The 17,757-nt window shown below is 47.2% G+C and overlaps 1 protein-coding gene across 2 annotated transcripts, besides 2 other annotated features; it reads left to right on the forward strand.

Annotated features, from left to right (window-relative positions):
- Positions 6,112–12,297, forward strand: MUC21 (mucin 21, cell surface associated). Of its 2 annotated transcripts, none has more exons than NR_130720.3 (3): positions 6,112–6,555; positions 8,631–10,075; positions 10,394–12,297. NR_130720.3 is itself a non-coding variant. In NM_001010909.5 (3 exons), the coding sequence occupies exons 1-3, from the start codon at positions 6,353–6,355 to the stop codon at positions 10,586–10,588; spliced, it is 1,701 nt and encodes a 566-aa protein (NP_001010909.2). In that variant the 5' UTR covers positions 6,112–6,352; the 3' UTR covers positions 10,589–12,297. The 2 variants fall into 2 exon arrangements, 1 of the variants encoding a protein (NP_001010909.2); NM_001010909.5 differs by having other exon boundaries at positions 6,112–6,413.
- Positions 9,229–10,428: an enhancer, noted in NCBI's record as "CDK7 strongly-dependent group 2 enhancer chr6:30954612-30955811 (GRCh37/hg19 assembly coordinates)". NCBI's record gives its function as "activates an origin of replication core promoter dependent on BRD2, BRD4, P300/CBP, MED14 and CDK7 cofactors, with strong dependence on CDK7, by STARR-seq in HCT116 cells {active_cell/tissue: HCT116}" and the evidence as "EXISTENCE:reporter gene assay evidence [ECO:0000049][PMID:35650434]".
- Positions 14,920–15,683: an enhancer, noted in NCBI's record as "NANOG-H3K27ac hESC enhancer chr6:30960303-30961066 (GRCh37/hg19 assembly coordinates)". NCBI's record gives its function as "activates a minimal SCP1, AML or CMV promoter by ChIP-STARR-seq in primed H9 embryonic stem cells {active_cell/tissue: H9 hESC(primed)}" and the evidence as "EXISTENCE:reporter gene assay evidence [ECO:0000049][PMID:30033119]".

A 17,757-nucleotide genomic window follows, 5' to 3' on the forward strand; every position in this document is an offset into this window, starting at 1 on the left:
GCAATCCACCTACCTCAGCCTCCAAAAGTTTTGGGATTACAGGCACGAGCCACCATGCCCAGACTTATCTTGTCTTGAAAGTTGAGCAGCATAGATCCCTACCAAGGTACAAGTATACTAATTAGGAAGACTGTTTTCTCCAATAAATAAATAAATAAGAGGAAGAGAGTCCTAAATATCATCCACACACACACACACACAGGAAGACTTGATGAGAAAATAGACAATATTGAAAAGTGAAAATTTATGAATTTTGATAATCCAAGGTTTAATGATAAGAAAGAAAAGGAGTTAACTACTAATATATATATTTTTCTCTTTTAGAAGGATCTTTCTTTACCCTGACAAATAGAGGCATTTATAACCTCCATGACAACAGCCTTGACCTTGGTTTATACCTGGACTCAGTCCTGGGCTCTGGGACATTCCACAGCCTGGGAAATGCACTCATTCATGGAGGGGGACTTGAGATGGGACACACAGGAACACATGGCTTTGGACATGGAGTGGGCCATGAGCTGAGCCACAGCCATGGAGATGGCTGTGGAGTGAATCATGGTGGGCGTTATGGACTTGGAGGAGGCTACAGCAATAATCATGAAATGCATCACAGAGAAGGTCGCCAAGGCAAAGGAGAGTATAGACATAGACTGGATAATGGAAGGTGCTATGGAAAAGAAAATCTTGGGGAAGAAGGGGGATCATGGAGGAGAAGGTAGTGACCATAAAATGGGTCAGGATGGGCTTCTCTGAGGTCTCCAAGGGATTGGCCATAGAGATGGTCATGATCAAAATCAAGAAAAGAACCAGAGAAAAGAGCACAGAGGGTTTGGCCAACGGGACAGTCAGAAAAATAGGGAGTGGTTCTGGAGGAGACCTGCAGCCTCACCAGCTTTGGGTGTGAGCTCAAGTGAAAATATCCCCTGAGCATAACCATGGTTCCAACTCTTGTGGGGAGGAGGGGTCACGATGATCAAGCTCAGAACAATTTCTCTTTGATCTCTCAACACACAAGTCAGAACTCTTTAGGCTTTGGCTTTCTATCGTTTCCTCAGGATGGAACCTGACCAGTAGGAGGAAGAATAAGATTATCACAGTTTATAATAATGGAGTGGGTAAAAAATTTCCCCTGAGAATTTGTAATTACACAACTTTCTTTATTTGGATTTGTAACTTCAAACTCTACAAACTGAGTAGATCAGAAAATCCTGTTAGACTCACTCAGTGCCCTCCAGTTCTTCATCTTTGGGAAGAGTCTCCCTCCCTACTTCTTTGCCTCTTTCAAATGCTATGTGATAAGTTAGAAGAAATTTACTGGGACAGTGCTACAAATTAAAATCTCAAAATACACCTGGCATCTATGTATTTATGTATTTATGTTTGTCTTTTTTATTTTCCCTTTGTCCTTTATTATTGCATGCTTATTAAGTGCCAAACACTATGCTAGTGCCTGTAAATACATCACCATTTATTTCTCAAAACAATCCAATGACAACTTAAACTTCTTGCTATATAATGGACTACGTGCCCTGACTGAAAATACACTGTAAAGCTAAGTTATGGACTTCAAAATCTTCTTAAAAGAGTCAGTGAATTGGCATGAAAGTATGGAATGCTAAAATTAAAGACTAAATAGGACCCAGGAGGTAAGGGAAGTACTGAAGCCAACTTTTGCAAAACCCAAAGAACTTAAGCTTCGGGTATTACAGCTTCAGCTGGATCAGCCCAAGGTCATGGGTGGGGAGGAATCACATAAATCTGTAACTTTCAGTGAGAATGTAAACTAAAAATAAACCTGCCCCTCCTCTAAGGAAATGTAAGCAAAATTGCCTGTCTCTAAATTTGGTGCAGAGGAGGGTAGAGGGAGTATCCCTTGAGAAATAAATTGTAACCACAACAACCAACAATACCTTACTTACATGGTTTGTAGCCACAAATCATGCAGTCTAGGTAATTCAAAAGACCGCAATCCTATAGTTTAGCTTAAAATAATCATCAAATTATACAGCATATATATGTATTAAAACATTAAATTGTACCCCATAAGTATATACAGTAACAATGTTAATAAAATATTTTAATTAAAAATATAATAATAAAATAATCCTCAAATGGTAATGTCTCCATATGCTTGGAAAAAACATGCAAATTCTCTGTGAAAGATCGTAGCTTAATCTGTAATTCCAGAAATTTGGGAGGCCGAGGCAGTAGGATTGCCTGAGCCCAGAAGGTCAAGGCTGCAGTGAGTTATGCTAGTGCCACTGCAGCCTTGATCTCGACAGATAACATTCCAAGAAAAATAAATTTATAGTCATGATTCTCAAATCATAAGTGAAAACAGACACCCTGAGTGAAAACCAGCAAGGAAGAAAACAAAACCAAAAAGCTAGACAGCAGTATCAGATCCTCAAAGACTTTAGGTATTGAAATTATTAAATACAGAATATAAGGTAAGTAGGTTTAAATGTACGTCCTGGCTTTATTTTTAATTTTTTTTATTTTTACTTTTTGTGGTACATAGTAGGTGTATATATTTATGGGGTACATGAGATGTTTTGATACAGGTATGCAATGTGAAATCAGCACATCGTGGAGAATGGGGTATCTATCCCCTCAAGCATTTATCCTTTGAGTTACAAAAAATCCAATTACACTCTTTATGTTATTTTAATATATACAATTAAGTTATTATTCACTATAGTTACCCTGTTGTGCTATCAAAGAGTAGGTCTTATTCATTCTTTTTAATTCATTTGTTTTTTTAAATTAATTTAATTCATTTAATTAATTCATTCATTAACCATCTCTACCTCCCCCAGTCCTCCCCACTACCTTTCCCAGCCTCTGGTAACCATTCTTCTAGACTCTATGTCCATGAGTTCAGTTGTTTTTGATTTTTAGATCCCACAAATAAATGAGAACATGCAATGTTTGTCTTTCTGTGCCGGGTTTTTCACTTAACATAATGATCTCCATGTCCAGCGATGTTGTTGCAAATGACTGGATCTCATTCTTTCTTTATGGCTGAATGATGCTCTACTATGTATATGTACCACGTTTTCTTTTCTTTTCTTTTCTTTTTTTTTTTTTTTTTTCCGAGATGGAGACTTGCTCTGTCATCCAGGCTGGAGTGCGGGCAGTGGCTCGATCTGGGTTCACTGCAACCGCTGCCTCCCAGGTTCAAGCAATTCTTCTGCCTCAGCCTCCCGAGTAGCTGGGATTACAGATGCCTGCCACCACGCCCGGCTAATTTTTGTATTTTTAGTGGAGATGGGGTTTCACCATGCTGGCCAGGCTGGTCTCGAACTCCTGACATCATGATCTGCCCACCTGTGCTTCCCAAAGTGCTGGGATTACAGGCATGACCGTGCCTGGCTCTTTTTTTTTTTTTTTTTTTGAGATGGAGTCTCACTCTGTCGCCCAGGCTGGAGTGCAATGGCACAATCTTGGCTCACTGCAACCTCCGTCTCCCAGGTTCAAGCAATTCTCCTACCTCAGCTTCTCGAGTAGCTGGGATTACAGGCGCCCGTCACCACACTGGGCTAATTTTTGTATTTTTAGTGGAGATGGGATTTTGCCATGTTGGCCAGGCTGGTCTTGAATTCCTGACCTTATGATCCACCCACTTCGGCCTCCCAAAGTGCTGGGATTATAGGTGTGAGCCACTGCGCCCGGCCTGTACCACACTTTCTTTATTCATTCATCCATTAATAGACACTTCCAAATCTTAGCTATTGCAAACAGTGCTGCAACAAACGTTGGAGTGCGGATATTTCTTTGATACACTGATTTCTTTTCTTTTGGCTACCTCCTCAGCAGTGGGGTTGCTGGATCATGTCACGGCTTTATGGTTGTCTGCTAACACCCATTCTCCACCTTTAGCAACAGATCTCTCAAGTGTCAGCTGAGCACACGTCTACCCAGCTAGAGACAGTCTTTCTCAGTTTCTCTTGCAGCTTAACATGGCTGTGTGACTGCGTTCAGGCTGAGGGTGTGTAAGCAGACAACAATAATTTTTTTTTTACAATAATCTTTCATGAAGTTAACAAACAAGAAGGAATTAAAATACTTGATGATATTAGGGTATGATTTGGGAGATGGGTAATACGAATTAAAATGTTCTGAGGTCTTTGTGTTATTTTGATAGCGAGTAAAGATATTAATTACATTAGGCTCTGATAAGTATGCGCGCTACAATTTTCAGAGTACCCTCTAAAAGGTGAAATTTGGACTTGAATCCAGGATCTCAGTTTCTAAATAATTCTGGAAGAAGAAAATTCTTAGAGTGCTATTGGCTTTTCAGCTGCAGAATACTGGCACATCAGAAGAATTGCTGGGAGTCCAGGACCCAACCTGTCACTGAGCGTTCCCGCATACCTGACCCTCTGGAACTTCCCATCACAGCCACTAGGCAGACTCACTTCTGAGCCTTTCCCAGCACACCGCTGACCCTTTCTGTTTCTCCAGCTCACTCATTCAGAGCTCCTTCATGTCTTCAGCCACCTCCTGCTTGCCAGCTTCCTTCTAACAGAACTTGCATGTCAGGAAAGCTCGTTCGCCTACAAATAAACTATCTGAGAGACTGTGTCTTCCAGGAAGCTTCTCGTCATTGTTGGGGGAAATGCAGACAACTCACTTTGGTCATTGCAATGGTTTGGATGTGGTTGTTAAACCCTGCCAAGTCTCATGTTGAAATTTGATTCCCAATGTTGGAGGTGGAGCCTGGTGGGAGGAGTTTGGGTGGTTGAAACAGATCCCTCATGAACAGCTCGGTGCCATTCTCAACCAGTGAGTTCTCACTCTTAGTTCCCACAAGAACTGGTTGTTGAAAAGATCCTGTCACCTCCTCCATTCCTTCTTTCCAGCTTCCTCTCTCTCGCTATATGATCTGTGCAAACCGGCTCCCCTTCTCCTTCGGCCACGAGTGGAAGCTTTTTGAAGCCCTCACCAGTGCAGACGTTGGTGCCATGCTTCTCATACAGCCTGCAGAACCGTGAGGCAAATAAGCCTCTTTTCTCTATGTCACCCACAGTCAGGGATTCCTTTATAGCAACACCAATGGACTATGACAGAAAATACAGACTGTATATTGGAACCCCATCAGCCTGGTCACAGATGCCATCTCAGACCTCCCCAAACCCTCTGCTCATTTGGGTCTCTTCAGTCACGCTCTTTTAGCTGACTGTTTCCCCTCTGCTGGCCATACCCAAGTGTCCAGACCAAATTCAAGCCTCCTCCAGGACTTGGACTGTTGATCTCCCTCCTCCCATCAGACTGTGTCCCGATATGGCACTGTGTCTCTCCCTAAGGTGTGTACTCTCCTGAGAGACGCTTCCTTGGAACTGATGCTAAGGCACATCAGAAGGATCTCAGGGTGGAAAGGCTCCTATACAGCCGTCTGAAAACAAAAACAAAACAGAGGGGAGCTCCTATGGTTGAGGGTCAGAAGGAGACCCTACCTTCCTTCTCCTGCTATGAGTCTGACAGGGGGCGTATTCAATACTCTCCCACACCCTCAGTTCTCATGCCCCAGAGACCCCAAACATGTTTTCATTATCTCTCTTCATTATGTCTTCTGGATCTCTCTTCCCCTGTTCCTTCAATGTGCATTGTTGAGTGCTTACTGCATACTCAGTAATACTCCATTTGTCTTCTGCCCATAACCCAGGAGCCCAGAGTCCTAGTTACTGGTCTCTTTTGCGTCACCTATTACTGTTTGCTGTAGAGATGTGAGGTCCTACTCTCTTGGCTCAGTTCATTAGGGCTTCTTTCATGCTAAAGCAGGCCCACAGGACTTCCTGACCAGAAAACAAATTCTTGAGCTGCAACAGGTTTCTAACCCGATCCCTGCTTCAAAGGGTGGGTCCCTTCCACTCTGACAACCATGATCTCCTCATCCCATTCTACTTCCTGCTGCAACCCAGCCAAGCACCCTGCCTAGTGTGGTCATGTCATTCTCCTTTCTCACCTTCCTCTTGACCCCTGCTCTATTCCGTCCCAGGCTTGGTATCGTTCTCTCACCTGCCTGTAGTTGGCAGACTGTCAGGTCAACTGCCCCACCCCTCCTCAGACCATATGAAGCTATAAAGGCCCCTGCAGCTCTTTCACAACAGAGAAAGAGGCAACTACATTGCCTGGAGGAAGCCTAAGGAACCCAGGCATCCAGCTGCCCACGCCTGAGTCCAAGATTCTTCCCAGGAACACAAACGTAGGAGACCCACGCTCCTGGAAGCACCAGCCTTTATCTCTTCACCTTCAAGTCCCCTTTCTCAAGAATCCTCTGTTCTTTGCCCTCTAAAGTCTTGGTACATCTAGGACCCAGGCATCTTGCTTTCCAGCCACAAAGAGACAGATGAAGATGCAGAAAGGAAATGTTCTCCTTATGTTTGGTCTACTATTGCATTTAGAAGCTGGTGAGTGATTTTATTTAAAATCGGGTGGTCTGAGAACCTTTGAGGAGTTGGGAGAGAAATGTGACCACTACTGGGGCCAGCTCTGCTTCTCTTCCATAGAGTGAGGATCATCATTTTACTCGAATCACTTCAGCCTAACAAGGTATGTCATGCAGGAAGCAGTCAGACACAGTGGTTAAAATTGGGCTCTGGTCTCACATTGCCTACATTTGAATTATGGCTCCATCTATTAACTGTGTACTTTAGGTCAGTTGCTTCTCTGCGCCTCGATTTCTGCATCTGTAAAATGGTAACAACCTGTGTAATATGGTTGGGGTTTTAAATATTAAGAACAAGAAGAGTCGGCTGCTTTTAAAATGTCACTCTTCTGGCGGGGTGCGGTGGCTCATGCCTTTAATCCCAGCACTTTGGGAGGGTGAGGCAGGCAGGTCATTGAGGTCAGAAGTTCAAGACCAGCCTAGCTAACGTGGCAAAACCCTGTCTCTACTAAAAATACAAAAATTAGCTGAGTGTGTTGGCTTGTCCCTGTACTCCCAGCTACTCAGGAGGCTGAGGCAGGAAAATCGCTTGAACCCGGGAGGCGGAGGTTGCAGTGAGCCAAGATGGTGCCACTGCACTCCAGCCTGGGTGACGGAGTGAGACTCTGTCTCAAAAAAATAAAATAATAAAATAAGGCCAGGCTCAGTGGCTCACGCCTGTAATCTCAGCACTTTGGGAGGCCAAGGCGGGTGGATGTCTTGAGGCCAGGAGTTTCAGACCAGCCTGGCCAACATGGTGAAACTCCATCTCTACTAAAAGTACAAAAATTAGCCTGGCGGGGTGGCTTATGCCTGTAATCCTAGCTACTCAGGAGGCTGAGGCAGGAGAATCGCTTGAACGTGGGAGGCGGATGTTGCAGTGAGCTGAGATTGCTCCACTATACTCCAGCCTGGGCGGCAGAGCAAGACTCCGTCTCAAAAACAAATAAATAAATAAGCAATAAAATAAAATAAAATAAAATAAAATAAAATAAAATAAAATACCACTCTTCTATATTCTACAAACTCAATTTCTCTCCTACCCCTACACCTAATTCCTCGTCAGCTTCCCACGTACAGGCTGGGGAGGTTGAATGTCTTCATCCTTCTGGGAAATCAAGGGCAAAAATTTGACATAACCTTAACTCCAGCCAAGCCTCCAAGAAGTTAAAAGCCTTCCCTCTACCTTTAGACGTTGGTTTACAGCCCTTATTCCTGGGAGCTCTTATGTATTTGAGCTACATATAACTCGTTCTTCTCTAGCCTTGGCCATAGTGATCAAGGGCCCCTGGAACTTGAATGCATATAGTCACCTGGCTTCTTGTTGTACATGCAGACTCCTGGGCCCCATCTCAAATTCTAATTCATTTAGTCTGGAATGATTTGCTTAAGAATATTTTCAACATGCTCCCTTAAGTAATTCTGAAATAAGTGTGTTCTGAATATTATTCTGAGAAATATTTTCCAAGAAGGAAGCAATACTACTTAAGAAAAAAATTGATCAGTATATACTAGTTTCACCTAGTCCTATAATTCTTTTATAATACTTTATATCTGTATTGTATCTTGCATAGCAGAATGTGGAAAAAGGTTAGCTACCAGTGAAACTAGATGATGTAACTCTGGCATTGTGGGTGGGTGGTTGACTTAGCTTAGTCTCCACAAGTGCAGATTTAGTAGCCTGGGTTCAGTTTCCTGTTCCACCACTCACTAGCTGTGTAAACTTGGGCCAGTGTCAACTTTTTTTTATTTTTTATTTTTGAGACGGAGTTTTGCTCTTGGCACCCAGGCTGGAGTGCAATGGCTCGATCTCGACTCACCGCAACCTCTGCCTCCCGGGTTCAAGTGATTCTCCTGCCTCAGCCTCCCGAGTAGCTGGAATTAATGCCCGGCTAATTTTGTATTTTTAGTAGAGATGGGGTTTCTCCATGTTGGTCAGGCTGGTCTCGAACTCCCAACCTCAGGTGATCCGCCCACCTTGGCCTCCCAAAGTGCTGGGATTACAGGCGTGAGCCACCGTGCCCAGCCCAGTATCAACATTTTGAAGCCTCAATTTCTTCATCTCAGCTGGTGATAATAATAGCATCTATGTTATAGCACCATAGTGAGCATTAAATAAAATTATGTAATGAATTTAGCCAAGCAATAAGCAGAAAGTATATACACACAATATATATTTGTCATTATATGATTTCTTCAGCAACAAATTCCAATGAGACTAGCACCTCTGCCAACACTGGATCCAGTGTGATCTCCAGTGGAGCCAGCACAGCCACCAACTCTGGGTCCAGTGTGACCTCCAGTGGGGTCAGCACAGCCACCATCTCAGGGTCCAGCGTGACCTCCAATGGGGTCAGCATAGTCACCAACTCTGAGTTCCATACAACCTCCAGTGGGATCAGCACAGCCACCAACTCTGAGTTCAGCACAGTGTCCAGTGGGATCAGCATAGCCACCAACTCTGAGTCCAGCACAACCTCCAGTGGGGCCAGCACAGCCACCAACTCTGAGTCCAGCACACCCTCCAGTGGGGCCAGCACAGCCACCAACTCTGACTCCAGCACAACCTCCAGTGGGGCTAGCACAGCCACCAACTCTGACTCCAGCACAACCTCCAGTGAGGCCAGCACAGCCACCAACTCTGAGTCCAGCACAACCTCCAGTGGGGCCAGCACAGCCACCAACTCTGAGTCCAGCACAGTGTCCAGTAGGGCCAGCACTGCCACCAACTCTGAGTCCAGCACAACCTCCAGTGGGGCCAGCACAGCCACCAACTCTGAGTCCAGAACGACCTCCAATGGGGCTGGCACAGCCACCAACTCTGAGTCCAGCACGACCTCCAGTGGGGCCAGCACAGCCACCAACTCTGAGTCCAGCACACCCTCCAGTGGGGCCGGCACAGCCACCAACTCTGAGTCCAGCACGACCTCCAGTGGGGCCGGCACAGCCACCAACTCTGAGTCCAGCACAGTGTCCAGTGGGATCAGCACAGTCACCAATTCTGAGTCCAGCACACCCTCCAGTGGGGCCAACACAGCCACCAACTCTGAGTCCAGTACGACCTCCAGTGGGGCCAACACAGCCACCAACTCTGACTCCAGCACAACCTCCAGTGGGGCCAGCACAGCCACCAACTCTGAGTCCAGCACGACCTCCAGTGGGGCCAGCACAGCCACCAACTCTGAGTCCAGCACAACCTCCAGTGGGGCCAGCACAGCCACCAACTCTGGGTCCAGCACGACCTCCAGTGGGACCAGCACAGCCACCAACTCTGAGTCCAGCACAGTGTCCAGTGGGGCCAGCACAGCCACCACCTCTGAGTCCAGCACGACCTCCAGTGGGGCCAGCACAGCCACCAACTCTGAGTCCAGCACAGTGTCCAGTGGGGCCAGCACTGCCACCAATTCTGAGTCCAGCACAACCTCCAGTGGGGCCAACACAGCCACCAACTCTGGGTCCAGTGTGACCTCTGCAGGCTCTGGAACAGCAGCTCTGACTGGAATGCACACAACTTCCCATAGTGCATCTACTGCAGTGAGTGAGGCGAAGCCTGGTGGGTCCCTGGTGCCGTGGGAAATCTTCCTCATCACCCTGGTCTCGGTTGTGGCGGCCGTGGGGCTCTTTGCTGGGCTCTTCTTCTGTGTGGTGAGTGCCTAATATGTAAGAAAATGCCTGGGGGAAGGAGCAGCAGAAACACAAGGAAATGGGTGTGAATAGAAGGGGTCTCAAGTCAGGGGTGGGTAGGGAGGAAGGGAGATCAGGAAAGAGTAACACAGAGACATGGTAGGTCAATGCAGAGGAAGCTGCTGACCTGCGGGAAAAGGGGGCCACAGAAAGGACTGGAGAAAGGAGAACTAGGTAAAGAGTGTGGTTGGAAGTGGGAGAAGATTCCAGAAGGCGTACGTGGTAAAGGCGTGGGAGACAGGGATGCAATTCTGAAACTATTGACTCTTCTTTTTTTAGAGAAACAGCCTGTCCCTGAGAAACACCTTTAACACAGCTGTCTACCACCCTCATGGCCTCAACCATGGCCTTGGTCCAGGCCCTGGAGGGAATCATGGAGCCCCCCACAGGCCCAGGTGGAGTCCTAACTGGTTCTGGAGGAGACCAGTATCCTCGATAGCCATGGAGATGAGCGGGAGGAACAGCGGGCCCTGAGCAGCCCCGGAAGCAAGTGCCGCATTCTTCAGGAAGGAAGAGACCTGGGCACCCAAGACCTGGTTTCCTTTCATTCATCCCAGGAGACCCCTCCCAGCTTTGTTTGAGATCCTGAAAATCTTGAAGAAGGTATTCCTCACCTTTCTTGCCTTTACCAGACACTGGAAAGAGAATACTATATTGCTCATTTAGCTAAGAAATAAATACATCTCATCTAACACACACGACAAAGAGAAGCTGTGCGTGCCCCGGGGTGGGTATCTAGCTCTGAGATGAACTCAGTTATAGGAGAAAACCTCCATGCTGGACTCCATCTGGCATTCAAAATCTCCACAGTAAAATCCAAAGACCTCATTCTTATCTGTGTGTCTGCATTTTCTAATCCTTTTTGCCCCAGGCAAGGTCCCTGTATCTCTGAGACACCCCGATTGGCTGGAGAATTGACTTGGGAGAGATAAGGAGGGAGGGCGGGTGCCAGCATGCTATGGGCTCCTGCGTGAGGCCTGTGGTACACAGAGATTAGGTTGTGATACATGAAGAGCCAAGAGCAGGATGAGGTGGAGGCGTTACAACTACCTGCTCTGTGTGTGGGGGGGGAGGGGGGAGGGGGGTACGCATATTCACTTGAAGTCGAGGTTCCCAGGGCATTTCCATGTGCTCCAGGCCTGACTACCCATCAGGGTGGAGGAGCTGGTGACACTCATCTCCCTGAGTGCTCCCTGGTTTCCCAAGGGAAAGACTTTCTGGCCTGCTGAGGTCGAATCTTCCAAGAGGCTCTTGCAAAGACCCGAGATTCTCATAAATCCCCGCCCAGAAGAGCTGCACGTATCCCTTTCATGAGTCCAGGGAAGAGGGTCCTCCAGGTCTTGGAAGACAGAGGGGAGCTGCTTTAGAGGCTAAGTTGCTTTGAGCCCACAAGGTAATGGAGGGCTCCTACTTGGGACAGAGCCCTCAGCAGAGAATTAGCAGTCTGTTGGTGGGTTCACCCCAACTCACAGCAGTAGAAACTGCTCCATCTTCCACCACTTATTGGGTTTCTCCAGTGTCAGCAAACCAAAGAATTGGATCTTACCAATGCGGCTATAGGAAAACAGCCTGTTGCATGGTAAGAGTGATACCATCTTGAAGTGAAACCACCACAATGGCCATTTTTTTTTTAGATGGAGTTTTGCAGTGGTGCAATCATAGCTCATTGCAGCCTTCAATTCCTGGGCTCAGGCAATCCTCCTGCCTCAGCCTCCTGAGTAGCTGGGACTACAGTTTCGTGTGCCACCATGCCTGGCTAATTTTTAGAATTTTTTGTAGGGACAGGGCCTCACTCTGTTGCACAAGCTGGTCTTGAACTCCTGGCCTCCTTGAACTCCTCCTGCCTTGGCCTCCCAAAATGCTGAGATTACAGGTGTGAGCCACTGCACCTCGCCAGATGTCCAATGTCTGACTCCTGCATACCAAGGTGTTCTGTATCAAGGGCTTTAAAACAATGCCTGTAGCGTAATTAACCTCTCACAAAGATGCTTATCTAACCTCCCCAGCAGTCATGGGTTTCAGCAAGAAAGTCTGTGATGTGACCAGTTGCACATGTTTTCCCCTAAAAGCTTACTCTAGAAAGGATATTTTTTGGAGAGGGAGTGTGGGAATCCACCATCTTGTGGCCACCTCAGACATCACTTCTCTTTGGAAGACTCCATTAAATATTTCTCTGTGAGAAACTGGATTTGTCAGTCTCTTTCTTTGATCTCTTTTCCCCTCAAAATTTAGGGGTAGGTTTGTGTAGACCTGTTCATGGTAGAACATTTGGTGATCCCCCAGCCAGTAGCTGGGAGAACAAGGAATGGGTAAGGAGAATGAAGCATCTGTAAGGAAACCCCAGGGCGGCAGCCACGTCTGTGTAGGGTTGGATGGCACAACTGTTCGATACCTGTGTACCTCTGTGTGAGTGCAGGGATGCCTTGAAAATGCCAGGTGGCCTAGAGCAGTTATTAACTGAAAGCCGCATAGTGCACTGGGGTACGGAAGGTCGGCCAATAGCCACTGCAGAGGGTTGGGTGCTTCTTTTGGCAATGAAGATCCGGCTAGCAGCAGAAGCCAAAATTAAATGTCTAGAGAAGGAATTGCAACTAGAAAAAGACGTGTACCTCTCCATGTCTCTCCTCACATCCAACTTAGCAAACAAAATTGAAGACCAAGAGACAAAAATTGAAATGTTAGCATGTAGATTTGTCCACCTAGGGCGAAAGATATGGAAATGACCAAAAATCAGAGCTCTCATGAGAAAGCCCAACCGGGATGTGAAAACTTGGAATCCCTGGGATTGTTATGAAGAGGAAGACTGATGACATAGAAGTCACAGGTGTGGAGGGGGATGGGGATCATTGGCAAGCTCGCTGTCTCATGCAAAGGAAAGTGAAACCTAACATTGGCAGCAAAACGGGGGTCAGCTGATACAGGAGACTCTCACTGTCAGGGAACCTACCGCTGCAGAACTCTTAGAGATTGCAAAGGCCTTTAAACAACTACCGAGGAAATCCCTGGCTGCTTGGATGGTCTGATTGTGGGACACAGGGGCTGATGATATTTCCTTAACAGGAGAAGCAGAAAAAATGAGTAACATCACCACCCATGCAGCCCTGCAGAAGCATCTTTGCTAAGGCAAGGCAGACGCAAGGGAGTCATAGCTTATGGACTGGCTCATTCTAGCTATGAGGGAGGCTTGACCTAATGAGGGAAATTTACCGGGAAGGATGACCTCCTGGCAGTCAACAGAAAAGGCCCAAGGGCTTCTCCAAGAATTAGGAATGAGTCAAGTCATCTATGTTTGGGTTCTCACAGGACTTAAAACAGTTTTTTCCTGCAGGGATGAAAAATAAATTGCTGAAGGGTGCACCAGGAGAATGGCACAACCCTTGGCTCATGTTATTGAGTCCTATAAATGGGACAAGAAGTATATGATGTGGGAAGGCCAGGCACAGGGGCTCACACCTGTAATTCCAGCAATTTGAGAGGCCGAGGCAGGCGGATTACTTGAGATCGGGAGTTCGAGACCAGCCTGGACAATATGGTGAAACCCCATCTCTACTAAAAATACAAAAATTAGCTAGGTGGTGTGCCTGTAACCCCAGCTACTTGGGAGGCTGAGGTAGGAGAATTGCTTGAACTCAGGAGGCAGAAGTTGCAGTCAGCTGAGATTGGGGCACTGCACTCCAGCCTGGGCAACAGAGTGAGACCCCGTCTCAAAAAAAAAAAAAAAAAAAAAAAAAAAGGGCTGGGCACGGTGGCTCATGCCTGTAATCCCAGCACTTTGGGAGGCCGAAGTGGATGGATCACCTGAGGTCAGGAGTTCAAGACCAGCCTGGTCAACATGGTGAAATTCCTTCTCTACTAAAAATACAAAATTAGCCGGGCATGGTGACAGGCGCCTGTAATCCCAGCTACTTGGGAGGCTGAGGCAGGAGAATAGCTTGAACGTGGGAGGCGGAGGTTGCAGTGAGCCGAGATCGTGCCATTGCACTCCAGCCTGAGCAACAACAGCGAAACTTCGTCTTAAAAAAAAAAAAAAAAAGATGTATATGACGTAGGAGAAGCCATCACAGATTTGGGAGCTACTGAGAAAGCTAGGGACGGGGTGTGCTTTGTAACCCGGCAAGGGCTGACAAAGGGGAAAGATAATGCTCCACAGGAAGAAGGGGGAAAATAAGGGAAAGCGACCAACTAGAGTCAAGAACAGGCAAATGTGGCATGACTTATTGGGAGCAGAAAAATTCTGAGAAAAAAATATGTAAAAAATGTTAAAATATGGAAAATATGAAAAATGCTGTGTTAGTAGCCTTATGGAGGGAAGTACAGACTGAAGGGCTGTTTTGTCCCTTCATTTCTGCCCCTCTAGCAGAAGAGGAAGATGACTCAACCCCTCATTCTAATACTCCAGCCTATCAGAGGGGGATTCCATGCTGGGCCCAAGATTAGCAGTGGGACCAAGGTCAACCCCACGTTGCAGGTGACCAGAGGCCCCATATTGAGCTCACCATTTACTGTTCCTCTCAAAAAAATAAGGAGAAGACTATTTCCTTAGTAGATACTAGGGCAGAATATACTTTAATTCATGGAAATCCATAAATACACCCTGGTCAATGGTCTGCCATCACTGGTTATGGGGACAAACGATCTGGATGAGAAGGACTTTAATACATCTAGGTATTGGGGAAGCTCCCCTGCCCCATATGTGGTGTTTATTTTTCTTATTCCAGAAAACATTTTAGGCACAGGTATTCTGTTAGGAAAGACTTAGCAAACTTCAGTGGAAAAATTCAGATCGAAGGTGCATGTAGTGAAGACTGTTTTTTTTTTTTTTTTTCTTTTTCTTCTTTCTTTTTATTTATTTATTTATTTATTTTTTATTGATCATTCTTGGGTGTTTCTCGCAGAGGGAGATTTGGCAGGGTCATAGGACAATAATGGAGGGAAGGTCAGCAGATAAACAAGTGAACAAAGGTCTCTGGTTTTCCTAGGCAGAGGACCCTGAGGCCTTCCGCAGTGTTTGTGTCCCTGGGTACTTGAGATTAGGGAGTGGTGATGACTCTTAACGAGCATGCTGCCTTCAAGCATCTGTTTAACAAAGCACATCTTGCACCGCCCTTAATCCATTTAACCCTGAGTGGACACAGCACTCGTTTCAGAGAGCACAGGGTTGGGGGTAAGGTCACAGATCAACAGGATCCCAAGGCAGAAGAATTTTTCTTAGTACAGAACAAAATGAAAAGTCTCCCATGTATACTTCTTTCTACACAGACACAGCAACCATCCGATTTCTCAATCTTTTCCCCACCTTTCCCCCCTTTCTATTCCACAAAACCGCCATCGTCATCATGGCCCATTCTCAATGAGCTGTTGGGTACACCTCCCAGACGGGGTGGTGGCCTGGCAGAGGGGCTCCTCACTTCCCAGTAGTGGCGGCCAGTCAGAGGCGCCCCTCACCTCCCGGACGGGGCAGCTGGCCGGGCGGGGGGCTGACCCCCCCACCTCCCTCCCGGACGGGTTGGCTGCCGGGCGGAGAGGCTCCTCACTTCCCAAACGGGGTGGCTGCCGGGCGGAGGGGCTCCTCACTTCTCAGACGGGGCGGCTGCCGGGCGGAGGGGCTCCTCACTTCTCAGACGGGGCGGTTGCCAGGCAGAGGGTCTCCTCACTTCTCAGACGGGGCGGCCGGGCAGAGACGCTCCTCACCTCCCAGACGGGGTCGCGGCTGGGCAGAGGCGCTCCTCACATCCCAGACGGGGCGGCGGGGCAGAGGCGGTCCCCACATCTCAGACGATGGGTGGCCGGGCAGAGACGCTCTTCACTTCCTAGATGTGATGGCGGCCAGGAAGAGGTGTTCCTCACTTCCTAGATGGGATGGCGGCCGGGCTGAGACGCTCCTCACTTTCCAGACTGGGCAGCCAGGCAGAGGGGCTCCTCACATCCCAGACGATGGGCGGCCAGGCGGAGACGCTCCTCACTTCCCAGACGGGGTGGCGGCCGGGCAGAGGCTGCAATCTCGGCATTTTGGGAGGCCAAGGCAGGCGGCTGGGAGGTGGAGGTTGTAGCGAGCCGAGATCACGCCACTGCACTCCAGCCTGGGCACCATTGAGCACTGAGTGAACGAGACTCCCGTCTGCAATCCCGGCACCTCGGGAGGCCGAGGCTGGCGGATCACTCGCGGTTAGGAGCTGGAGACCGGCCCCGCCAACACAGCGAAACCCCATCTCCACCAAAAAAAATACGAAAACCAGTCAGGCGTGGCGGCGCGTGCCTGCAATCGCAGGCACTCCGTGAAGACTGTTCTTGAGAGAGGAAGAAAATGGGAGCCCCTACAACTTCCTGCCCCTACATGGCGTTGTCAACATTAAATGATTCATATTGTCCAGGGGGTATGCTGAAATAAGTGCAATTATTATCCTCCCAATAAGTGCAACTATTATCCACCCAGCACAAAGCCCATGAAAGAGTCTTGTCTTTTTTCGCATTCCCGTCTTTTCTTCTAGTTTTGTTATCTTGTTGGCATTATGTCAGCCGCTGAAGCTTTTACTGTGCTGCAGCCATGGCTTTTCTTTTTTTAACTTTTATTTTAAGTTCGGGGGTTCATATGCAGGTTTGTTACATAAGTAAATGTGTGTCATGGGGGTTTTTTTGTACAGGTTATTTCGTCACCCAGCTATTAAGCCTAGTACCCATTAGTTATTTTTCCTGATCCTCTCCCTCCTCCCACCCTCCACCCTCTGATAGGCCCCAGTGGGTGTTGTTCCCCTCTATGTGTCCCTGTGTTCTCATCATTTAGCTTCTACTTATAAGCGAGAACATGCGGTATTTGGTTTTCTGTTCCTGCATTAGTTTGCTAAGAATAATGGCCTCCAGCTCCATCCATGTCCCTGCAAAGGACATGATGTTGTTCTTTTTGTATGACTGCATAGTAGTCCATGATGTATATATACCACATTTTCTTTATCCAGTCTATCGCTGATGGGCATTTAGGTTGATTCCATGTCTTTGCTATTGTGAATACCACTGCAATGAACACATGCATGCATTTTTTTTTTTTTTTGAGATGGAGTTTTGCTCTTGTTGCCGAGGCTAGAGTGCAATGGTGCGATCTCAGCTCACTGCAACCTCTGCCTCCCGGGATCAAGCGATTCTCCTGCCTCAGCCACCCCAGTAGCTGGGATTACAGGCATGTGGCGCCACGCCCATATAATCTTGTATTTTTAGTAGAGACAGGGGTTTCTCCATATTGGTCAGCCTGGTCTCGAACTCCTGACCTCAGGTGATCCACCTGCCTCAGCCTCCCAAAGTGATGGGATTACAGGCATGAGCCACCGTGCCTGGCCACGTCCATGTGCTTTTATAACAGAATGATTTATATTCCTTTGGGTATATACCCAGTAATGGGATTGCTGGATCAGATGGTATCTGTCTTTAAGTCTTTGAAGAATCACCACAGTGTCTTCCACAATGACTGAACTAATTTATACTCCCACCAACAGTGTATAAGCATTCTTTTTTCTCCACAACCTCGCCAGCATCTTTTATTTTTTGACTTTTTAATAATAGCTGTTCTGACTGGCGTGAGATGATATCTTATTGTGGGTTTTTGTTTGTTTGTTTTGAGATGGAGTTTCGCTCTTATTGCCCAGGCTGGAGTG

The sequence above is a fragment of the Homo sapiens genome, chromosome 6 (assembly GCF_000001405.40).
Source record: "Homo sapiens chromosome 6, GRCh38.p14 Primary Assembly".
NCBI lineage: Eukaryota > Metazoa > Chordata > Mammalia > Primates > Hominidae > Homo > Homo sapiens.